General features: G+C 61.3%; 1 protein-coding gene across 29 annotated transcripts in view; it reads left to right on the top strand.

Moving 5' to 3' along the window:
- Nucleotides 1–19,660, top strand: part of BEGAIN (brain enriched guanylate kinase associated) — a 50,271-nt gene that overhangs the window by 10,315 nt on the left and 20,296 nt on the right. For 6 of the 29 annotated variants that reach the window (NR_169570.1, NM_001385095.1, NM_001385094.1 and 3 more), the window contains exons 1-2: nucleotides 8,126–8,204; nucleotides 9,164–9,192. The exons of 2 other annotated variants lie outside the window; for them this stretch is intronic. Coding sequence is in view for 25 of the 27 variants with exons in the window: in NM_001385095.1 (NP_001372024.1) it covers nucleotides 8,181–8,204; nucleotides 9,164–9,192 (53 nt within the window). In the remaining 2 variants the exon portion in view is untranslated. Of the gene's footprint in view, nucleotides 1–7,310; nucleotides 7,957–8,125; nucleotides 8,413–8,609; nucleotides 8,659–8,801; nucleotides 9,193–10,019; nucleotides 10,179–19,660 lie in introns of those variants that run through there. 21 more of the 29 variants (NM_001385093.1, NM_001385089.1, XM_024449671.2 and 18 more) reach the window with 9 other exon arrangements.

Here is a 19,660-nt window from a genome sequence, read left to right as displayed (position 1 = left end):
AGTAATGATAACAATTATAATAATCCCCTCCCCACTGCGGCAGAGCCTTGGTGGTTTACCTTGGGCTTTCCCGTGATTATCCTTTTACATTTTTGAACCTGACACAACCCCACATGAGGCAGACTGTCCCATAGGCCTGTCAGGCAGCTTTCATAGCTGCCCCAATTATATGGAGTTGGAAACTGAGGTTGTGAGGGGCTGCCACTTGTCCCGGGTGACACAGGTAGTCCGGGCTTGGGCTGTAGAGCTCTTTCCTCGTACCCCGTCCACACATGCACTCTGGCCTCAGACAGATGGACAGGTGGATGGGCAAAAGATGTGGTGAGATTTCCTTGGCTGTCCTGGTGATGGAGCTGTGCAGAGCGTCGGGCAAATGGGACCTCATCCAGGGGCTGGCACCCCCACCTTGGTGCTGACCTTTCCTGCCCTGTACCATCTGTGTCCCCTGGGCCAGGGAGGGTCCTCGTGGGCTGCCCGGATGTTGCTCGTGCCCCAGTTCCACCTTCTCCCAACACAGGATGGAGACGGAGGCCGTGGGATGGGTTTGTGGGATATCAACCTGTAGCCACCCAGGAAGGCTTTCCTGCCGGGAGGGGGTCTGTTCTGAGGATGAATTCCGGGTGAGCACGGTGACTCTCGCCGAGTGATACTCGCCGAGCATTGACTAGTGTTCTCAGCTTCTGACCCCCAGCTTGGGCGCAACCCCAGGAGGTCGGCGCCATCATTATGTCCCCAGTGCATGGAGGAGGAGGGAGGTGGAGGAGCCGGGTTGGGCCCAGGCACTTTGCCCTCCACCTCTGCACCTCTGCCACCTGTGTGCTGCTGGCCCTCAGGTGGCCTGCTCTGTCCAGGGATGGCCAGGGACAGGCCGGTGGGTGGGAAGTTCTGGTGATTTGAAGCCCTGCCAGCCCTTTCCCTGTAGGTCTGCATGGCCAGCTGGGGCCAGGCAGCTCTGGGTGGAAGTGCATCTCGAGGGTCAGTGGCCTTCTGTGTGACTCTGGACAGGTCACCCATCCTCATCATGCCTCAGTTTCCCCAGCAGTGAAAAGTCAGTCATGACCACAGGCACCTAATAAGCATTGTTTCCCCGCCTGCTCCTCCAGGGGTGGTGAGCTGGGAGCCCCACTTCTCTGCTGCTCTTGGCTCCACTTACCACGCAGACCGTCCTCTGGGGGCTGCTGGGCCCTGGGGGAGTCCTGGTGCCACCCAGGCCCTGGAGGATTCCATCCCAGGGCTTCTTGCACATATCTCTTGGGGCCTCAGGGCCTGTTGGGGCCCAACAGTGTGTTCAGGGGGCGAGGCTGCACCCTGGGGCCTGGCCAGAGTGGCCCCACCCGGGAACCCAGCTTGACTCCTTGAAGCGGGAGGTGGCATCAGCCCCAGCAGGAGGGGCTGGACCATACCTGGCCTTGGAGGCCCTGGTCTCCAGGCCTAACTCCTGCTGCACCCCACCTTCCCCCACCAGCCCCCCAGGATCGTATCTCATGATGGGCACCAACTCTGAGCCCCTCAGCTCCAGCCTCAGATCAAATACAGCAAGCCTGAGAAAGTGATCCTAGGGTCAGTCTCATTCTATAAACCAGGCACTGAGGCCCGGAAGACTGAGTCCAGCAGAGTCCTGGTTGGGCTGTGCCCTGGCTCAAGTCACACTCCCCCCAGTGTCTCCATGGGGACATTAGAGATAACTGGGGAAGGACCCTGGCCCAAGGTAGGGATTCAGCCGCCGGGATGATAGTGGTGATAAAGATAGCGATGCCAGCCCTTCACAGGGGCTTGTCTGTTGATTTGAGCACCCACTGTGTGCCTCGTACCTTCCTGGCCTGGACAAGCCTGTGTCCCCAGAATGCTTTCTGGAGGGGGTGGCTCTGGGGAAGCAAGGCAGATCCCTGGCTTCCAGTCACCAACCTGCAGACCGTTTCTTGAGAGACAATGCCTGGGGCTCCACCATGAACCACTTCTGGGAGGAAGCTGCTGCCCCAGGAGGACCCTGGGTTTCAGTCCTGTCCTGTGCTGTCCTGCCTGGCTGAGTGGCCATGGGTGAGTCTCTGGTCCTCCTCTTCACTGGTCAGCAAACAAGAGGCTACTGTAGAAGGTCTCTAGGACCGCCGGTTATCACAGACTTGGGACTGAGCCTCATTTATACTAGTGTGAATGACTCGATCCAATGTTTATCTGAGAACAAAAGTCAAGAAGGAGCAGGAAGCACAGGGCCAGGGGCATGGCCCTGGGTGGGGTCATGACAGCACCCCCAATGCAAGTCCCCAAGGCTGCAGTTGGATCCTGTCTGAGAGGCTTTCCGGCTGAGTGACCTTGAATAAGTCACTCTGCCCTACTGGCCTCAGCCTCCCGATAATAGGGAAAGCTCAGATGTGGATGGTCCCCTTCCTGAATGGGGGACCCCCAAGGTGCCTGGAGAGGGGGCAGCTGCTTCCCAGCCCCGCTGACTGTTGCCACGTGGGAATGTGGGCCGACGTTGCCAGATCTTCCAAAATTTTCAGTAGAAGCCAAAAATACGGATTTTAAAATGTAAACTCCCAATTTTTAAATGTTGGCTCAAATGTTTAAAAAAAAAAAAAAAAAAAAACCTTTGTGCAGGCCAAATACAACATGCTGGTGGTGGGCCAGATTTAGCTCCGGGAGGCCAGTTCGCAGTCACCAGCCTAGCCTGGCGGCACCGGGGCACAGCTGGGAAAAGGGAGGCCCTGTATGAAGTCACACAGAGCCTAGACAAGACCCAGGGCTCAGGTCACAGGTGGGACAGGGTCACCTCTGCAGCCGAGGCCAGGTGCCCAAATTCCCCAGGGGAAGGACATTCTTGGCCCCATCTGGGGACAGCCCCAAGCCAGGGCCTGGGTTCAGATCCTCAACTTGCCGGGTAACCCAGGGCAAGCACTCTTCCCTCTCCCATTGATCAGATAAGGCCAGGAAAGCCCGCGGCTCATTTGGGACTGCAGCGGAGGCTCTGGGGAACCCCACCACGTGCCCAGCACCAGCGAGGCCCTTGGGGATGCCTGGGGTTCACGAGGCCCAGGCGGCTCTCCGTCCTTGTCCTACCTGTGGGTCAGCGCATGACACCGATGATCCCGCTCTCCTCCTTGAGACAGCCCCCGAAGGACCACCTCCACCCTTAATGCAGACTCTCCTCCCACCTCCCACCCACCCTTTCCCAGTCTCCTTGGCCGGTCCTGCTCACCTCCTGATCCCCAACAGTGGCAGAGTCCCGGGCTCTGTCCCAGCCCCTGTCGCCTCCCACCGTGGCTGCCCTGGCGGCCTCCCCAGTGCTGCGGCTGTGTCACCTCTGATCTGGCCATTTCCAGGTTCACATCTCCTGGAGCCTCCCCTGAACTCCAAGCCCATTTCCCAGCCCTTGGTGTCTCCCCTGGGATGGCCAAGGGGCACCACCAGCCCTGAATTCCCCATGTTCCCCTGCTCAACATGAGGTCACAATGCTTCTGTCACCTCAGGGGTTCTCTTCCTTCCATGTCTGCTTCTAGACTGCCTGGGAATCTGAGAATCCCTCCCACCTCCACCCCAGGCCCCGTGGGCCTGGCTGGATGCCCTGGGGTCCTGCACTTGCCCCTCTCCACACAGTGGTGTGCCAGAGACGCCCCCATTCATCCCTCCAGGGGCTCCCATCCACCTCATGGCAGAAGCCAAGGTCCTGATGAGGGTGCACGAGGCCCCGCACCCCAGCTGCTCCTTCCCACTGGTGACCGGGATGCTTCCCAACTCACCAGGCACAGCCGCAGGGCTGCTCCTCTAGCGACCTCCCAGGACTCACCCGCCCCTCCTCTGGCGGCCCCTTCGGGACTCACCCGCCCCGTCCTCCGGAAGCCCCTCCCCCCAGACTCACCAGCCCCCTCCTCCGGAAGCCCCTCCCCCCAGACTCACCAGCCCCCTCCTCCGGAAGCCCCTCCCCCCAGACTCACCTGCTCCCTCCTCCAGTGGCCCCTTGGGATTCATCTGCTACTGGGCTCAGCTCACTTCATCCGGGCCTCTGTGTTCATCACTGCACCCCTTTCCTGCCCCACCCTGCCTCCCATCCTTCTCTGTACACATATCCCCGTCGGACATACAGGGTGGGAGGGGTGGTGTACTGATTCATCTCTTGGGGTCTGTCTTCCTGCATGAGAATATCAGCACAGTGAGAGCAGAGAATTTCATCCAGTCTGACCAGTGCTGAATCCCCCAGAACAGGGCTCTGCACACAGTCAGTGTTTGCCAAATGAATGTCACAAGGCAGGGTACCATGTAAAACATCTTAGAAAGCTGTCCACTCCAAGTGATCAGTTAGAAGGCTGGCTCTCCAGAACAGCCACACCCCGTCCCCAGGACAGTCCCTTACACACAGCCGCCTTGTTGCTCCCAGTGAAGGATTTTCCATCTTTCCTTCCTAGATGAGTAACTGAGGGTCAGAGAGGTTGAGAGCCCTGCCCAAGGTCCCACAGCTGCGGAGAAGGCCCAACCCCCCAGGGCTCATCTCTGCCCTCCACATGTTAGGCTCATTTCCTCCCCTCCAGGAGGGGTAAGGGCAACAAGATTCAGGGAAACTGAGGAAGCTAGAGCCCAGCATGGGTGTAAGGAGTCCTGGGGGGCCAAGCACTGGGGTTGGGGTCGGAGAGGCCAGCCCCATGCCCTGAGGGAGGGTGGGGCTGGCCTGAGTCGGAGGCAGAGCTGGGACAGGAACCCAGGCCTCTGTCCTTGGCATGGCACTCCTCACCTGGCAGGCCCCCTGCAGAGGTGGGCTCACTCTCCTCTTCACAGTGTCAGAAATCAGCCGGATTTAGGGGGCAGTGGGCAGCCGTGCAATGGGGTCAGATGGTCCGGCAGAGGATTTATGTGCTCCATTATGGGGGCCACAGCAGGACTGACCCACATCTGAAGAGGGGTTTCCCAGGGCAGAGCTCTGCGAAGATACGATGCCCGGTACCAAGGGGCTCTGTGCCCTCCCGCGCAGGGGCAGGCTTGAAGAAGGGACGCGGATGGTGTTAGAATGACGAGGACCCTGCTGTGAGAGCAGGAAGGATGCTGCCCAGGGCTGAGGAGCAGGTGCCTCTGGCTGGGGATTAAGACGCACTGCATTCGTTCAGGCCAACACCACCTGCTCACCGCAGGGCTTCCATGCCAGGCCCTGGACACAGGGAGATGCAGCGGCAGAATGGAGGAGCTCTGCTGTCGGGCCTCACCGATGCTTTAGATGGGTAGTCAGGGAAGGGAGGCCCCGGCCGTGCAGAGTCAGGGCAGAACATTCCAGGTGCAAGGAACCAGTGCAAAGGCCCTAAGACAGGGATGGGCCAGGTGAGCCTGGAGCCAGCAAGGCAGCCAGTGTGGCCAGTGTGTGCCTAGCGAGGGGAGGCTGCTGGGCATGGGGGTCGGATGATTTGGCAGGGCCAGGTCAGTATTTACCAACCCCTCATGGAGGCCTGACAGGTGGCACAGAGTCACCCCCTCCACCTTGTCTGGGGAGGCCCTACTGTGTGCCAGTCTCTGTGCCCGGGTGCCACAGGGAAGATAGCAAGGTCCCTGGCCCCAAATCTCCAAGCTCTTGCCTATAAACTGCAAATGCACAGCTGATGAGACCCACCCAGCAAAGCTGCTGTGACACTTCAATGGAACTGATTTCTGTGACCGGGCCCAAGGCCACCCTGGGGACACAGCAGCAGAGGAAAGGGTGGACGGGCATGTTTCTGACCCGGGCGGCCCTCCCATCGCTAGTAAGAAAAGGAAGTAGTAGGTGGGAGGGAGGCAGCTGGGAGCTCCACAGGCCTCAGCCCATGCAGGGATGGGCACGTCATCAGGACCCAGATGGCCACAGGTGGGAGTGAGGAGAGAGCAGGGGCTAGTGGCCAACAGGCAGGGCTCCTGTGAGGGGTCAGAAGATAAAGGTGGCTGCTGGGCTGGACCACCAGAAAGAGGTAGGGACTTAAGGCAGACGGTGGGGAGAGGTGTGTTGGAGGAAGAGGCAGCGGGTGTGAATGGGGCTGGACAGCGCCCAGAGGCGGGGAAGGACTGTGCCATGAGGACTGTCCCCCGAGGGCACCCAGTGTGCACCCTGGGGTCCCAGCCTCCCTAAGGGAGATCCCGCCCCCTCACTTCACAGTGGGAACCCTGGGGCACCCCACAGACTCCTCATCCTCATGGCCCCCACCCACTGGCCCAAGACCCAGGCAGCGCCGCGGTTCTCCAGCCCATCAGGCAGGCCTCGGCTAACCTCAGGGGACTTGAGCAAGCCACTTCATGCGCTGGCCTCCGTTTCCTCACCCGTAGTAAGGGTCTCACGAAAATCACCGAGTCTTGTGGTCAATGAATGGCTGAATCAAAACTTGCACCCGGGGTGCTGGGCCCGTGCAGGAGCCTCATGGGAGACTGTCCCCGAGGGCGTAGCACCTCGGCCAGGGGAGCTTCCCTGCTATCTTCTCCCTAGCCACCCATAAAGATGCCTGTGTCACTCCTGCATGGAGAGCATCAGGCACAACCCATCTTTTAGTCCCCCCGCCCCTGCCAGGTGCTGGGCTGGTCCAGGGACACAGAGCTGGGACACAGAGTCCTGTCCCATCTGGTGTGGGGGTAAACTCAGTGACTCCCCAGAGTTCCCACAGAGGGCCGCATGGAGGATACAGCCTCCAAGGGGGAGGGCAGTGGTTGCCCCGAAGGCAATGGGTCAGAGGAGGATTTGAGCTACAGCAGCATCAAAGCCAGGCTTCAGGCTCTAGAATAGGCTTGAAGGGCAGGGGCTGCCTGTTCCCTGCCTGTCTCTTGCCCTGCCCAGCCCCCACTGCTCCACCAGGGCAGCTCAGCAACCTCCCCTGCCTTTCCCCCCAGTTCCCTTCTGGGGGTGGGGGGAATTCCCATCCAGGCCTTTTAGAAGGGCTGAAACATTCAATGTAAATAATTAATGCTAGATTTTTAAAATTAAATTTTAATACATTCTTATTAATTTTAGACAAACTCCCTGGCAGGTCATTCGCCGTGAGTGATTGAGGTTGGCAACCAGAGACAGCCTTTGGGTGGGAAAGGCTCCTGAGCAGTGGGGTCCAGGCGCAGCTGGGCCCCTTCAGCTGCGGGATCTCCAGCAAGCCTCTTCTCTGTTGGAGCTTTGCTCCCGCATAGGGGGTCCGGGGCTTCCATGGCAGAGCTGTGGTGAGGAGCCGTGGGAAGCGCTATGATGTGTAAGGGGCGGTGGACGTTATTGTTATGACTACCGTGGCCATTCTGCTGAGGGTGGCCTCCCAGGACCGGAGGGGGGCGGAGGGGGTTTTCCTCATTAGCCCCTGGAGAGCAGAGCTTGCTTCCTCTGCTGTCCCCTCTCTGCTTTGTCTGCTGTCCCCTCTCTGCTGGAGAACTTAGCCCAGAGCTAGTGAACGAGTGGGTGTCCGTGGATGGAGGAACACTTGGATTTCTTGGGTTTGGTTTGATCCTGGTTCAGGTCTGACCCTCTGAGTGGACGGCTCCTCCCACCCTGCGCTGGCTCAGCGCAGGCCAAGCCTGCTGGGTGCTGGGGGTGTCCTGGTGAGAACACAGGGCTCCTGCCCGGGAGCTCACAGCCAGGAGGGGAAAGGGCCAGGAAAGACAGGCTCCAGTGCCGTAGGATCCAGGCATGCACTGTCCGTGTTTATTGAGCGCCTGCTGTATGCTGGGACCTAGCATGAGAAGCGCTGTCATGGGGACCCGGAAAGGTGGGCCTGGGGAAGAGAGCGGTGTGGGGGTCGCGCTGGCCGGCGGCAAAGTCTTCCCGGCAAACTCCTTGTCTTGCAGGAGGAGGGTTTATGGAGGGGTCCAGGCTTGTGGTCTTGGACAACTTTTAGAGCGTCTGGGGAGGGGAACCGCCATCCGGGCGCCTTAGGGATCCCTTCCCCTGAAATTCCTTCCCCCACCCCAGCCGATCCGCAGCCCGCGGGTGCGGAAGGGCAGTGGAGCGCCTCGTCCAGCTGCCTCCCCCTTCCCCCCAGCTTTCAGGTGAGGAAACTGAGGCCGGGAGAGCGCCGGAAGGCCGGCCCGAGCACCCGGGAAGTTGGTGGCCGAGCCTGGCCGAGGCCCCGGGGCCGGGCCTTCTAGCTTGGCGCTGCGGCCGGGCTGCGCCCTCGCCCGGCGGGGCGGTGGGGGAGGCGGCGTGGGGCCCGGACCCGAGCGGAGCGCGCTCCCGGCGGACGCGGCGGCGGCGCCCGGCGCGAGGGGCCGGGATGGGCAGTCATCAGTCTTCCCAGGTCTGTCGCGTGGTCCCTGAGCTCGGACCCCTGTCCCCCTTGAGTGCCAGTCACGGCACAGAAAGACGGGCAAAGCCCCGGGGAGCGGCCTCTCCCGGGTGATAGAGAGCCCGCCCGGCGCCCCCAGCTCCACGCAGGAAGTGCGATCCCGCCCGGGCCGCTCGCGGTCCCCGTCGCTCGCCCGCGCCCACAAGGTTAACGGCGGCGGGTGGGTCCCCCTGCCCGGCGCGCGGAGGGGCTGCCCGGCTGAGCGGGGCTGGGCAGGGAGGGTCTCCAAGCCGCGCGCGGGCGGGTCTGCGCAAGCAAGGCAGGGAGCCCCGCCGGCGAGCCGGGCGCTCACGGGTTAATCCCTGGGGCCCGGGAGGGGCAAGCCAGGCCCAAAACCCCAGAATCTGAGGGCAGCGGGTCCCTGATTGAGGAGTCGAGGCTCCAAATGCCATCGCCCTCGGATTGTGTGAGTGTCAGGTTCTGCAATCCTGCACGGCCCCGAATTCCCCAACATTCTCCGACTCGGAGGTTCTGCGATTCCGGGGTTCGGCTTCCTCCGGGAGGGAGCGCGGGGCAGGAAGGGTTAACGGGCGGGGCGGGGGGAGCAGCGGGGCCGCGGCCGCCGGAGAGTTAACGGGGACAGGCCGAGTCCCCCTCCTCCGGGCGAGGCCGAGATCGCCCCTGGCCGGGCCATCCCGGGCCGGCCCCTTCTTCGCCCCGGGGGGCGTAACTCGGTGCGGGGAGCGCGGCGGCCCGGGCGGGCTCACCTGTTACTCGGCCGCGGCCCGGCGCGCCCACTGAGTCACGGGGGCCGCGGCCGGGACTGGAAGCTGGGGACGCGCGGCGCCGGGCTTCCCACGGACGGGGCCCCGCGGGGTTGCCCGGCCGTGCCCGCTGTGCCCGGCTCTGCCCGGCGCGGCCGCGGAGCGCACGCCTCCTGCCTGCTGACCCTCTCGTTTGGTTTCTCGCAGGCCTCTGCCGCAGACATGGAGAAACTCAGGTGAGTGGAGCGTCTCCCGTGCCGCGGCTCGCGGGGGCCGGGTCGGGGGTGAGGGCGCTGGGGAAGGCGGGGGAAGGGGGCTCCACCCGAGCGCATCCCCCAGGGCCCGCGGGCGGCCTCGGCGGGGCTGCGGGCCAGGTGCGTGTGTGTGGTGCGTGTGTGCGCGCCGCGAGGCGCTGGGGAGCCTCGCGCGGGGCTCCTCCGCCGGCCCGGGCCGCTGCGGCGGGGGCTGGGGCTAGCGCCACTGAGGGCCGGGCTGCCCCCTACCCGGGGCCGCCTGGTCCTGTGCGGTCCTCAGCGCCCCTCTGGCTCCCTGCCCTGGACTCTCGCTGGTCCCCGGGGACCCTCCGGGTTCCGTTCGTGCCGTTCCGCACTGCCCCGGCGCTCTCTCCCCCGACCCCACCCCACCCCCAACCACCACCCGCCCCAGCCCCCGGGCTGCCAGTTGCCTGGCTCTGAGCTTTTAAGTGTCCGCCTCTGGGGGGCGGGGGTGGGGGATGGAGTCCTCGCGGCTGGACCAGGCAGCCGCGTCTTGGAGCCATTTTGGGGGAATCCCGCGACAGCTTCTGGGGAGTGTCCCCCGCGGCCTCCCTCCCGGTGCCAAACTTTAAGCCTTGGTAGACTTCACGGGACCACCTGCGCGGCAGGCCTGGGATCAGCCAGTTTGAATATTTGCCACTTCCTCCACGACTTCCCCTGGCACCCTGACCCCTACTTTGGGAACACCCCTCCCGTGTTTTCCTTCCGGAGCCTGAGCCGAGGCGTTGTGTGGGCGGCAGGCCCAGCTCTGGCTGCTGGGTTTCAGCACTGTCTCCCCTGGCCCACAGGGTCTCCGTCCTCGCCACTCCCTCCCGAGGCCAGAATTGGCATCCTGGGGAGGAGGCCGGGTAGAGGAGCATCCCTCCCCCAAGGAGCAGAGCCCAGCCTGGGCCCAGGTCTAGGGCAGAGGGGCCCTGGGCTCTGCCAGCTGACCCTTAGTGCCGTGGGTGAGTGGCTTGGAAACACCCAGGTGGGAGCCTGGGGGCAGGTGGGCTCACACAGAGACCCAGGGTGGACTCTCAGAGCAGGGCCATCTCCTGGGCCATGGAGCTGATGTGCAGCCCCCACTGTGGGTCCCACAGGGACAGGACCAACATGTCTTGTGCTGGGAGGAGGGGTCCAGTCTCTGAGGTGGTTCAATCTCAGACCCCAAATACCTGATACCCATCAGCCAGGCCCACCTTGTCGTGGCCAAGGTCCAGGTGGGGGCGGTGAGGCCCAAAGAGCGACAGCCCTGGCTGTGGTCACACAGATGACCTCAGGCCCAAACTCAGGCTCTGGCCCAGGCCAGGGCCCTTCCCTGGTGCCCCACATTGGCTGTCATTTCACCACCTGGGTTGTACCGCCTGTGGGGGGGAGGAAACACTGCTTAACTCAGCTGAGACTTGAGGAAAAACTTAGCATTCATGGGGTGCCCTGAGGCCAGCCTGGGGGTTCCCTGCGGTGGTTCTCTTTCTCTTTCCCTCCTTCCCTGTGCCCGGCCAAGGCTCTCCGGCACCTATTCCTGTGTGCCAGGCACTGAGGACAGAGGCATGACCCCGCCCGGCTGGGTGCACAGGTAGGCAGGTGTGCCAGGTGGGCGGATCTGCTGCCTGAGCTGCTGATGGCGTCAGCGTTGCTGTCCCAGGCGGGCTGAGGCTTCCCTGGGCTAAGCCATAAAGGCTGGAGGCAGTGGCCAGGGCCTGGGCTCCTGGGCTGCATCGGGCCATGTGGCCTTTCTGGAGTTGCCAGGGGTGGCGTGGGGCAAGGACTCCTAGAACTGGGGAGGGGTCCTGCCCTCCTCTCCCTCTCACCCAATTAGTGTTCTCAGAGTTGCCTGAAGGGCTTTTCCAGAATCTTCCCTTCTGGCCAGTGTCGGGGCTGCCCCAGTGGGTTTCTGTCCTGCATTTGGTGCCTGGGATTCAGAACCAAAAGCCCAGGGGAGTGGAAGGGAAGTTGGTCAGCATGGCTTCCTGCACAGAAGGGCACAGGGTTTGGGGTCCCACAGACCCAGTCACTGACAAAGTCCTGGCCCTGGTTGGGCCTCAGTTTTCTCATCTGTAAAGTGGGTGTCCTAACCACAACCAGGTTGCAGGGATGTTGGGTGCCGTGAGCCCCTGTGGTGGAAGCATCTCTCCTGGGACCTGGCCCAGAGCAGGCCCAGGTAGAGGGTCTCTGGGGAACCTCAGACCACACGGTGGTCACAGTGAAGGGGTCCTGAAGTGTCCACAGGGATGACCCTATGGTCGGTCCTGCCTCCTGGCCCCTGGACTGTGGAGTCTGCACATCACAGGCTGGGTCTGTGGGTCTGGATTGAGCTCTGAGAGTGCTGGTCCTGGCCCCCTCCTCTCCCACACCCCCCAGGGCCTGGAGCCAGGACTGACTTATGGGACAGTCCTGTAAATATTTGCTGAAGAGCAAAAGGACCATGTCACCTGGTGGCACTGTGGCCCTCAATGGCTCCCTTTGGTGGGCAGGTGTACATTGAGGGGTCTCTCTTCCCTGGTCCCTCCCACTGGCTGCCCCCCCATGCTGTCGCCCTGCTTCCGAGTTCCCCACAAGCTGCCACCTTCATGCCCCTGCCTTTGCCCACGCAGTCCCTGCTGTAGAGAATGCCCTTCCCTGCCTTCTTGTCCACATGACAAACTCTGTGTCTTCCCTGTCGCCTTTTCCCTGGGGTTTTCATGACGCTCTTGCCCCTCCCTCCCAAGTGGACTCCAGCCCCCTCTGGGTACCAGCTCTGTGAAAAGACCCGGTTGGCCCTCCAGTGCCGGGGACAGAGGCCCACAACAGATCCTCCTAGGCCAGCGGACAGAATACAGAAGGGGTTTGCCCACAATGCTCTGGGGTCCCAGGTTGTGAACCCTGGCCTGGGGTATTGGGAAGAGCTTCCGGGAAGCAGGGACACTTGAGCCAAGGCATGAAGAATGGGTAGGAGTTTCCAAGGACAGACAGGCCACCCTCCAAGAGGTGCAAAGGCCTGGGGGCTGCCCAGAGCAGATGTGTTTAGGGAAGACAGGTAAGGGGTGGGGAGTGGAGGTCAGTGGGGCTCCCACTGACATCTGGGGTGTCTTCTGTCTTCCCCAGGGCCCCAGATGGGCACCCCAGAGAACAGAGCCGGGGTCTGGCCCCTGGTGTTCTGACAGCCACAGTGCCTGGCAGAGGCTGGCGCACAGTAGGGCTCCCACAGGCCGGGGGGCCACATGGTAGATATGCAGCCACACCATTTGATGGCCTGGCCACCTTGGCTCTTGTCCTTTGACCCTTGCTCAGCCACACTCAGCTATCTTGTCTTCGACTGCTTGGAAAAACTATTCTTGTGACTCTCAAATATTTATAGATATTACCAAGTCCCGGCTGGCTCTCCGTGTGCTCAGAGCCTCTGTGCCTCTAATCCCTCAAATTAATCCCCTCCTCTCCCTCCAAACAGGGTCCCTCCTGCCTGCCTCCTGCAGCGTGCTGCTGGGCAGCCCCTTTTTCTATTTGAGCTTCGGTTCCCTCCTCTGTCAAACAGAGAAGTGGGTCAGTCGCCTCTCATGGCTCCTGGGGTGCCCAGAGCTACTCCTGTTTGGTGTCCACGTTTTCCCCCCAAAATAGAATTTTTCAAAGTCGTGAACTGTGATAGGCCTGCAGAGACATTAATAAATATCCGCACAGTTCAGTGGTTAAGTTTAGAACGACCACCTGGCGACCACCACCTGTGTCAAGGAGTTCAACATGGCCAACCCCCGAGATCCCCCGAGACCCTTCCCCACAGACAGCCCCATCCTGCTCCCGGCCAGCCCCTAAGATCCCCCGAGACCCTTCCCCACAGACAGCCCCATCCTACTCCAAGCAGTCACCGGGACACCGACCTTGTGCTCAGTGGTTCCTTGCTGTCCTCGTGGTTCTGCCACCTGAGAGGGCATCCCCAGCAGAGATGGTTGTATGTTGCCTGCTTTGGGACCTCATACCTGGATTCCTTCAGCCTGTGTTTTGGGGGTGGCTTTTTTTCACCAAAACTATTCTGTTTGTGAGGGTCCCTTGTGGTGGTAGGTGGAGCTACCAGTTGCTGTTGTCATGGTGGCTTCCCTGAAATCCGTTTGTTCCCTGGCAGACTGCCGGGCACTGTGCAGCCTGGGCCACCTTAGGAAACTCCTGTGCGGGTGTCTGGGGATGTGGGCTGCGATTCTGGGTGTGCACCCTCAGTGGAACCTCCGGGGCACAGGGTGCGCATAGGGTCAGCTCTGGAAGATCGGAACAGACTCTTGAAACCGCTTCTCCCCATCACTGTCCCTCCAGCGTTGTTGGGGTGGGCTGCCCTGGTTTGCTGCCCGCTGGGTTTCCTCACCGGCGAAGGCCGTGCGCATTTTCTACCAAGGTGTTTTTCCCATTGATTTGTGGGAGCTCTTCACACTGTCAGTTACACATGCAGCAGCCACACCTCCTGGGGGACGCCGCGTCTCGCTGTTCACACGGTCCTTCTATGAACAAAAGTTCTTAATTTTAATTTTGTTGAATGTGTCAGGTTTTTTCACTTTCTGATTAAAGCGTTTGTGTCTTGTTTAAGGAACCCTCCTGAAGAACTGAGGCTATTGGCTTTTCATCCACTTGAACTTGGGTTTGCATGTGGTTAGAGGTCAAGGTTGAGCTCCTTTTTGGTTCTGGTTTTGGTTTTGCACAAGGACACCCAGGTGTTCGGGCCACACTCTCTCCTTCACTCCTATGACCGGTGCTTGTGGTCCTGTCCATGTCGGACACTTGTCCAGGCTGAGACACTCTGCAGAAGTGCCAGGCTGATGTCCCAGGGATGGAGACAGATGGAGAGCAGGTGGCCTCGAAGGTCCTGACCCTGTCCTGCCCTGCCCCTCCACGCCCCCCCTCAAAGGGCACCCTCTCCCACCCAAGTCTCCCGCGTGGGCCCCGTGAGCCGGCCCTGCTGCTCTCATTGTTCACTGATCATGGATTCCACACGCATTCACTGAGCACCAGAGGCTGCTGTCGGCGCTGAGGACGCCGCAATGACTGCACAGGCGAATCTTCTAGTCGGCGGGAACAGAAAACTTTTTAAGTTAAATAAATATCACGGTGACAAGTGCTGCGGGGACAAAAAGAAAGGAAGGCAGTGAGTGGGGGGCGGGGAGCAGGTGACCTGTACAGCGTGGCTCAGGGAAGGCCCTGAGCGGGTGCCACCGGGTCAAGGCACCAGGAGGTCCAGGCAGAGGGAGCAGCAGGTGTACCGGTGGCCTGCAGGAAACAGCAAGGGCTGGTGGCCATGGAGGAGGGCAGAGGTGCTGCGTTCTGGATGTGTTGGAGGCTCGAGCGACGGGGTCTGCTGATGGGGGTGACATGGGGTGTGGGGGAAAAGGGGGTGTCAAAGACAACTCCAGGGCATTGGGCACGAGCAGCTAAAAGGATGGACTTTCTTCCCCCGAGGTGGGGACAGCTGTGGGGGAGGAGCGGGTTTGAGGGCACACAGGCTTGAGGTGTCCCCTTTTATTTAGCAAAGCCCCGCTGCACACCTGCTTCGGGCAGGCCCCTGTCCTAGACAGCATCCAGGTTGGGTTCTCTGGGCATGCAGTAGGTGCTCATTGAGGGTGGGGAACTAATTGCATTGTGGTCTGGGCCCCGACAACTCAGGAAGAGATGTCCTGGGGATGGGGCTGGCCACCTGGCGGCACCCACCTTCAGGATGGCTGTTGAATTTCCTTGTCCCTTTCCCCCAGGCCCCCTGCTCTCCATCTCTTGTCTCCTCCAACCCACCCACTACCCCAGCAGGCCACACCCCTCCCGGAGTGTGATCCTTCAAGGCTCTCTACCCCACTTCTAAACTTGATCCTACTAGAGGAAGTCTTATGGACTAATTCTCACTAAGGTGTGAATGACTGCCTCACTTTGATTTCTCCCTTTGCAGCTAGGGGCTCAGGGGGTGAGGAACCAAGACACTGACAGCTGGGGTATGAGTCTGGGAGTCACTCCTAATCTGGAGCAGCTCTGATGGTATCAACTTGGGGGGTTGGGGTTACAGGTGGGGCCAGGGTGCCTTTGTCCCCACAGCCCAGTTGAGTTCCCACTCCTCTGCAAGGCCTGCCTCCCTGATGGGGTATGTGGTTAAGAAGGTAGACGCACCTAGGTTTCAATCCCAAGTCTGTCATCACTTACTGGCTATGTGGCCTTCAGCAAATTTTTTTTTTTTTCGACAGTCTTGCTCTGTCCGCCAGGCTGGAGTGCAGTCCAGGGCTCAAGCAATCCTCTCACCTCAGCCTCCCAAATAGCCTGGACTACAGACAGTCATGTGCCACCACACCAGGCTAATTTTGTATTTTTGGTAGAGACAGGGTGTCACCATGTCGCCCAGGCTGGTCTCCAACTCCTGGGCTCAAGTGATCCTCCTGCCTCGGCCTCCCAAAGTGCTGGGATTACAGACATGAGCCACCACACCTGGCCTTGGGCAGATTTCGGAAGCTTTCTGACTCTCAGTGCCACATCTGTAAATGGGGGTAGTAATAGCACCTACTTGAGAAGGCGGCTCAGGAGACTCAGTGCACGCTGGGGTCATGCACCTGGCTTGTGAGCTGGGCCTTGCTGTTGTGGCCTGCCCGTCTCGGGTGGCTCTGCCCTGCTTGGGCCTTGCTGCCCACCCCTTGGGCGGTGACATCATTCCCGTGAAGGAGAGGGCCTGGCAGCGTGGGGCCCTCTGAGGGTCTCTGAGCTGGGGGCGGGGCCAGCTCTTCCGCACCCTAGGCTGTCTGCACTTTTCCCCAGGGGCCGTCGATGGTTGGGGCAGTGGCTGGGTGTTTCAGAGGAGGCGATGCCACGTGCCTGTTTCTCAGGGCTCCATGTCAGGCCCGCATGGGGCTCCCCCTCCCCACCCCCCAACTACCACAGGCAGAAAATCCTTCCGAGGGCTGGAGGCCTCTGGGCCCGAGCTCTGCAGTGGGGACTGCCTGTCTCTTAAAGGTCCCCCGTGTCTGCAAAGCAACCTGAGAGAGGCCTCATGCTCCATCCCCTGATGGACCCACCGAGGCTCTGGGGCTCGTGTCGAGGGCAGCTCGTGTCTGTCCTGAGCAGCAGCAGGACAGAGTTGCAGGACGTGAGACGGGAAGCAGGAGATGGGACAGGGGATGCTTGTCAGGTGAACGCAGCAGGGCCTGGGACCAGGTCTTCTGGGCCTCTCAGCCCCACTTCCTCTGCCCTCGTGGCCACTAAGCATGGGTGATGGTCCGGGTTTGCCAGGAAGTGGCCAGTGCCATGTCTCTGTGTCCTGGGGGTCTGGCCGGACCGGGGAAGCAGCCACTGCTGGTTCTCTGTGTCCTGGGGGTCTGGCTGGAGTGTGAGGGGCTGGTGGTGGCATTTGGAATGGCCGTCCCAGGGAGGGGAGGCTGCCCTGGCCACACACCACCCCAGGCTGCTGAGGTTGGACACCCCACAGGCCCCAGCCATGTGTCTGGGGGATCCCCGGTGAGGGCCAGAAGAGGCACATGGCTGGGCTTCCCTGGGCAGGGCTTTGCTGAGCAAGAGAGAAGGAAAAGAGAGGCAGGGGCAGGTGGTGCTGCTGGGGACACAGGAGGACCCAAGACACAGAGCTGGGCCCAAATCACCCTTCATCTGGAGCAGCTCTGAGGTTGTCAGCTCAGAGTGCGGTAGGGCCGCCGGGATGATCCCCGGATCTCAGGAGCATCTGGGGGCTGGCTGGGGCTTCTGCCCCCATTCCTCCTTGAGGAAACTGAGGCTCTGAGAGCTTGAGTGCCAAGCTCAGTGGCCCCAGTGGCCTGTGGCAGAGCAGAGACTGCTGAGGTTGGGGCCTGCTCAGCCACCCACCCTCTCCTGCCCACACCATTCAGCAGAGTAAATAGTCCACATGACCCTCTCAGCCCCCCGCGGCTGGTGCAGAGATTGGGGGATCCTAGACACCACTAAAGGGAGGCTTAGGGAGCCCCGGGCCTGGCTTTGGGAGGGAGGGCAGATGCCACCAGTGACCCCAGCTCTCTCCTCGGCCCCGGCGCCTCCCTCCAAACATTGCTGCTGCTGACAACCCTCCCCGTAGCTGCAGGCTTTTCTTGGAGACTGGGTCTTGCCTCTTGAGTGTGAGTGTCTGTGTGCGCATCTATGCAGAGGTGAACGTGGAGTGGGACCAGCCAGGGACCAAGAGCATCCCAGAGAGACCCAGGGCGTGGAGGGGGCCCAGGTCCTGCAGTCCACGATTACTGATAAGTGTCCACCGCTCTGATCAGCTGTGATCCCTGGAATTCCAGAAAACAGGCCTCCTGCTGATCCAATTAATAAGTTTGCCCACATCTGTTTGCAGTGGTGAGCAGCCTGGTGGGGTGGTCAAATTAGCAAAGCCAGCGTGGGTTCCTTGGTGGCCAGTAATGAAGCCAGCAATCGAAGTGCTGAATTGCGACCTCTTCTCTCCTGGGCACCAGGGCAGGTGGCAGGCGCTGAAAGGTTAATTTGGGAGTCCCACGAGGAGCTCGTTCCTGGCTATGGGGCCGGCCCATGGCCATCTGTCTGCCAGTCCTGCCCCTGCACATTGACTGTGTGTGGAAGGGTGAGGCAGGGGATCCGGGGCCAAGGTGTGCACGGCCCCACCCTCTTGCCAACCCCATCTTCTCCAGAGGGAGAGAGGAGGGAGTAGCGATCAGTGGTGACAGGCTGGTGCTGGGAAAGAGGAGCCCAGGCAGGGGTGCCCAGGAGCCTCCTGGGCCCACCGCGCAGCTCCCCTTGGCTCTCGGAGACAGCCCCACTGAGGCTCCCTGCTCTAGCCCTGCTCTCCCAGCAGAGGGACGGCCCCAAGCCCAAGCCAACTTCCCGAGCTCCTTGGTGTGAGCATCTCTGGGGCCCCCAGGAAGAGGATCAGATACTTCAGCACATGCTCAGGGCCTTCTGCCAGCTGACCCCAGGCCCACCCCTTGTCTGCTCCCCCCAACAACCCCCAGGCCCCAGGCTCCGGCCACACCAATCTCCAGGACGCGCCCTGGCCCCACCGGCATGCTCCCAGCTGTGTGTCCTGCACACGATGGCCCACCTCCCCAAGGATGGGTCTGACGTTGGTTTCAAGGAGGTCTCGGGCTGAGAGCAGATGAGAGTAGCTGAGACTGCCATGGGGCTGTGCGGCAGTCACTTGAAAGGAGTGGGCCTGGTGTGGTGGGTGGTCCTAGAAGGTGAGGCTCCTGGTATACCCTGGGAAGGATGGGGAGAGAAAGAGAGGAGTCAAGGATGCATCGAGGCACAGGAGAGGACTTGTCTTGCTGCAGGGTGTGGGGGTAGGCTGTGGATTTGTAGGGGCGATGGGAGCTCAGCTGCGCCCAGCAGATCTGTGCTGCCCATGAGACAAAGGTGAGGCAATGGAGTTGGGGAGCAGCCAATGTGGGGGCCTCAGCAGAGAGATGGTATTTGCTGGCTAGGGTTGCCACTGGTGAGTGCACCCAGGGAAGGAGATGCCGGAGGCCAGATCCCCGGGACACGCTGGTGCCAGGAGGCCAGGAGATGAGGAGCACCCCACAGAGGAGCCTGAGAAGGGGCAGCCGGAGAGCGCAGTGAGGGTGGGAGGTGCGGGAGCAGGGAGAGGCAGCATGTGCCTGGCTGCTGAGGGCGCAGGTCAGGTGAAGGCTGAGACAGGACCAGTTCGGTGACATGGAGGGGACAAGATCCTGGTGGGCATTGGTCCCATCCCGGCAGGCTAGGAGTAAGGAGGCAGAGGCAGAAAGGTCAGACACTTTCATTGATCAGGGAACAGGGACTGTACCTGGAGGGTGAAGAGAGGGTTGTTCTCAATATGGGAAGAGCAACCACGAGTTTGCCTGCCAGAGAATGACCAGGAAGCGAGGGAAAAATGGATGGTTCAGGAGCGAGGGAGACTAGCTGGAGCCCCACCTGCAGCTGGGGGAAGCCAGTGGCCACGGTCCAGCCCAGCTGAGGGCTGCCTGGTTGGTCTGTAAGTAACGGTGGGCGGCACCGGGTGTCGGGGCAGATGCTGGTAGGTGGGGCATGTGGAGATGACATCTGCGAAAGTGCCCTTTGGATGGTTTCACTTCTCAGCAGAAAGGGAAGAAAAGGAAGCGAGGTCATCTGCCTGAGTGGGGATGGGGAGGAGGTGTTGGGAGTTGGGAGGCAGGAGGGGAAGGCATGAAGTCACTTTCCAGGAAAGTCGAGGGGAATGGCACAGGCACGCCTAGGATCCCTGAGTCAGTCTGTGGATGAACAGAGAGCGAGGCCATCTGCCCGCTGCTGTCTCCTGCCATCCATGTGGGTGCAGGAGCCCAGTGGATGGAGAGATTGTACCCTTAGTACAATGAGGAGAGTGATGGGGAGGAGGCCATAATGCCGTCACTGGCTGCCAAGTGAGGGCAAGGCCAGTGAGGGGCTGTGAGAACCCCCGGTGGCAGTGATGGAGTGAGGGGCATCCTCAGGCCTGAGCTGGAAAGAGAGTGGGTGTCAGAAATGGGACCGCACGGGGTCCCCATGGATG

Source organism: Homo sapiens, chromosome 14 (genome assembly GCF_000001405.40).
Source record: "Homo sapiens chromosome 14, GRCh38.p14 Primary Assembly".
Classification (NCBI taxonomy): Eukaryota; Metazoa; Chordata; class Mammalia; order Primates; family Hominidae; genus Homo; species Homo sapiens.
The sequence above is the reverse complement of the archived record's forward strand: the minus strand, read 5'-3'. Positions and strand labels throughout refer to the sequence as shown.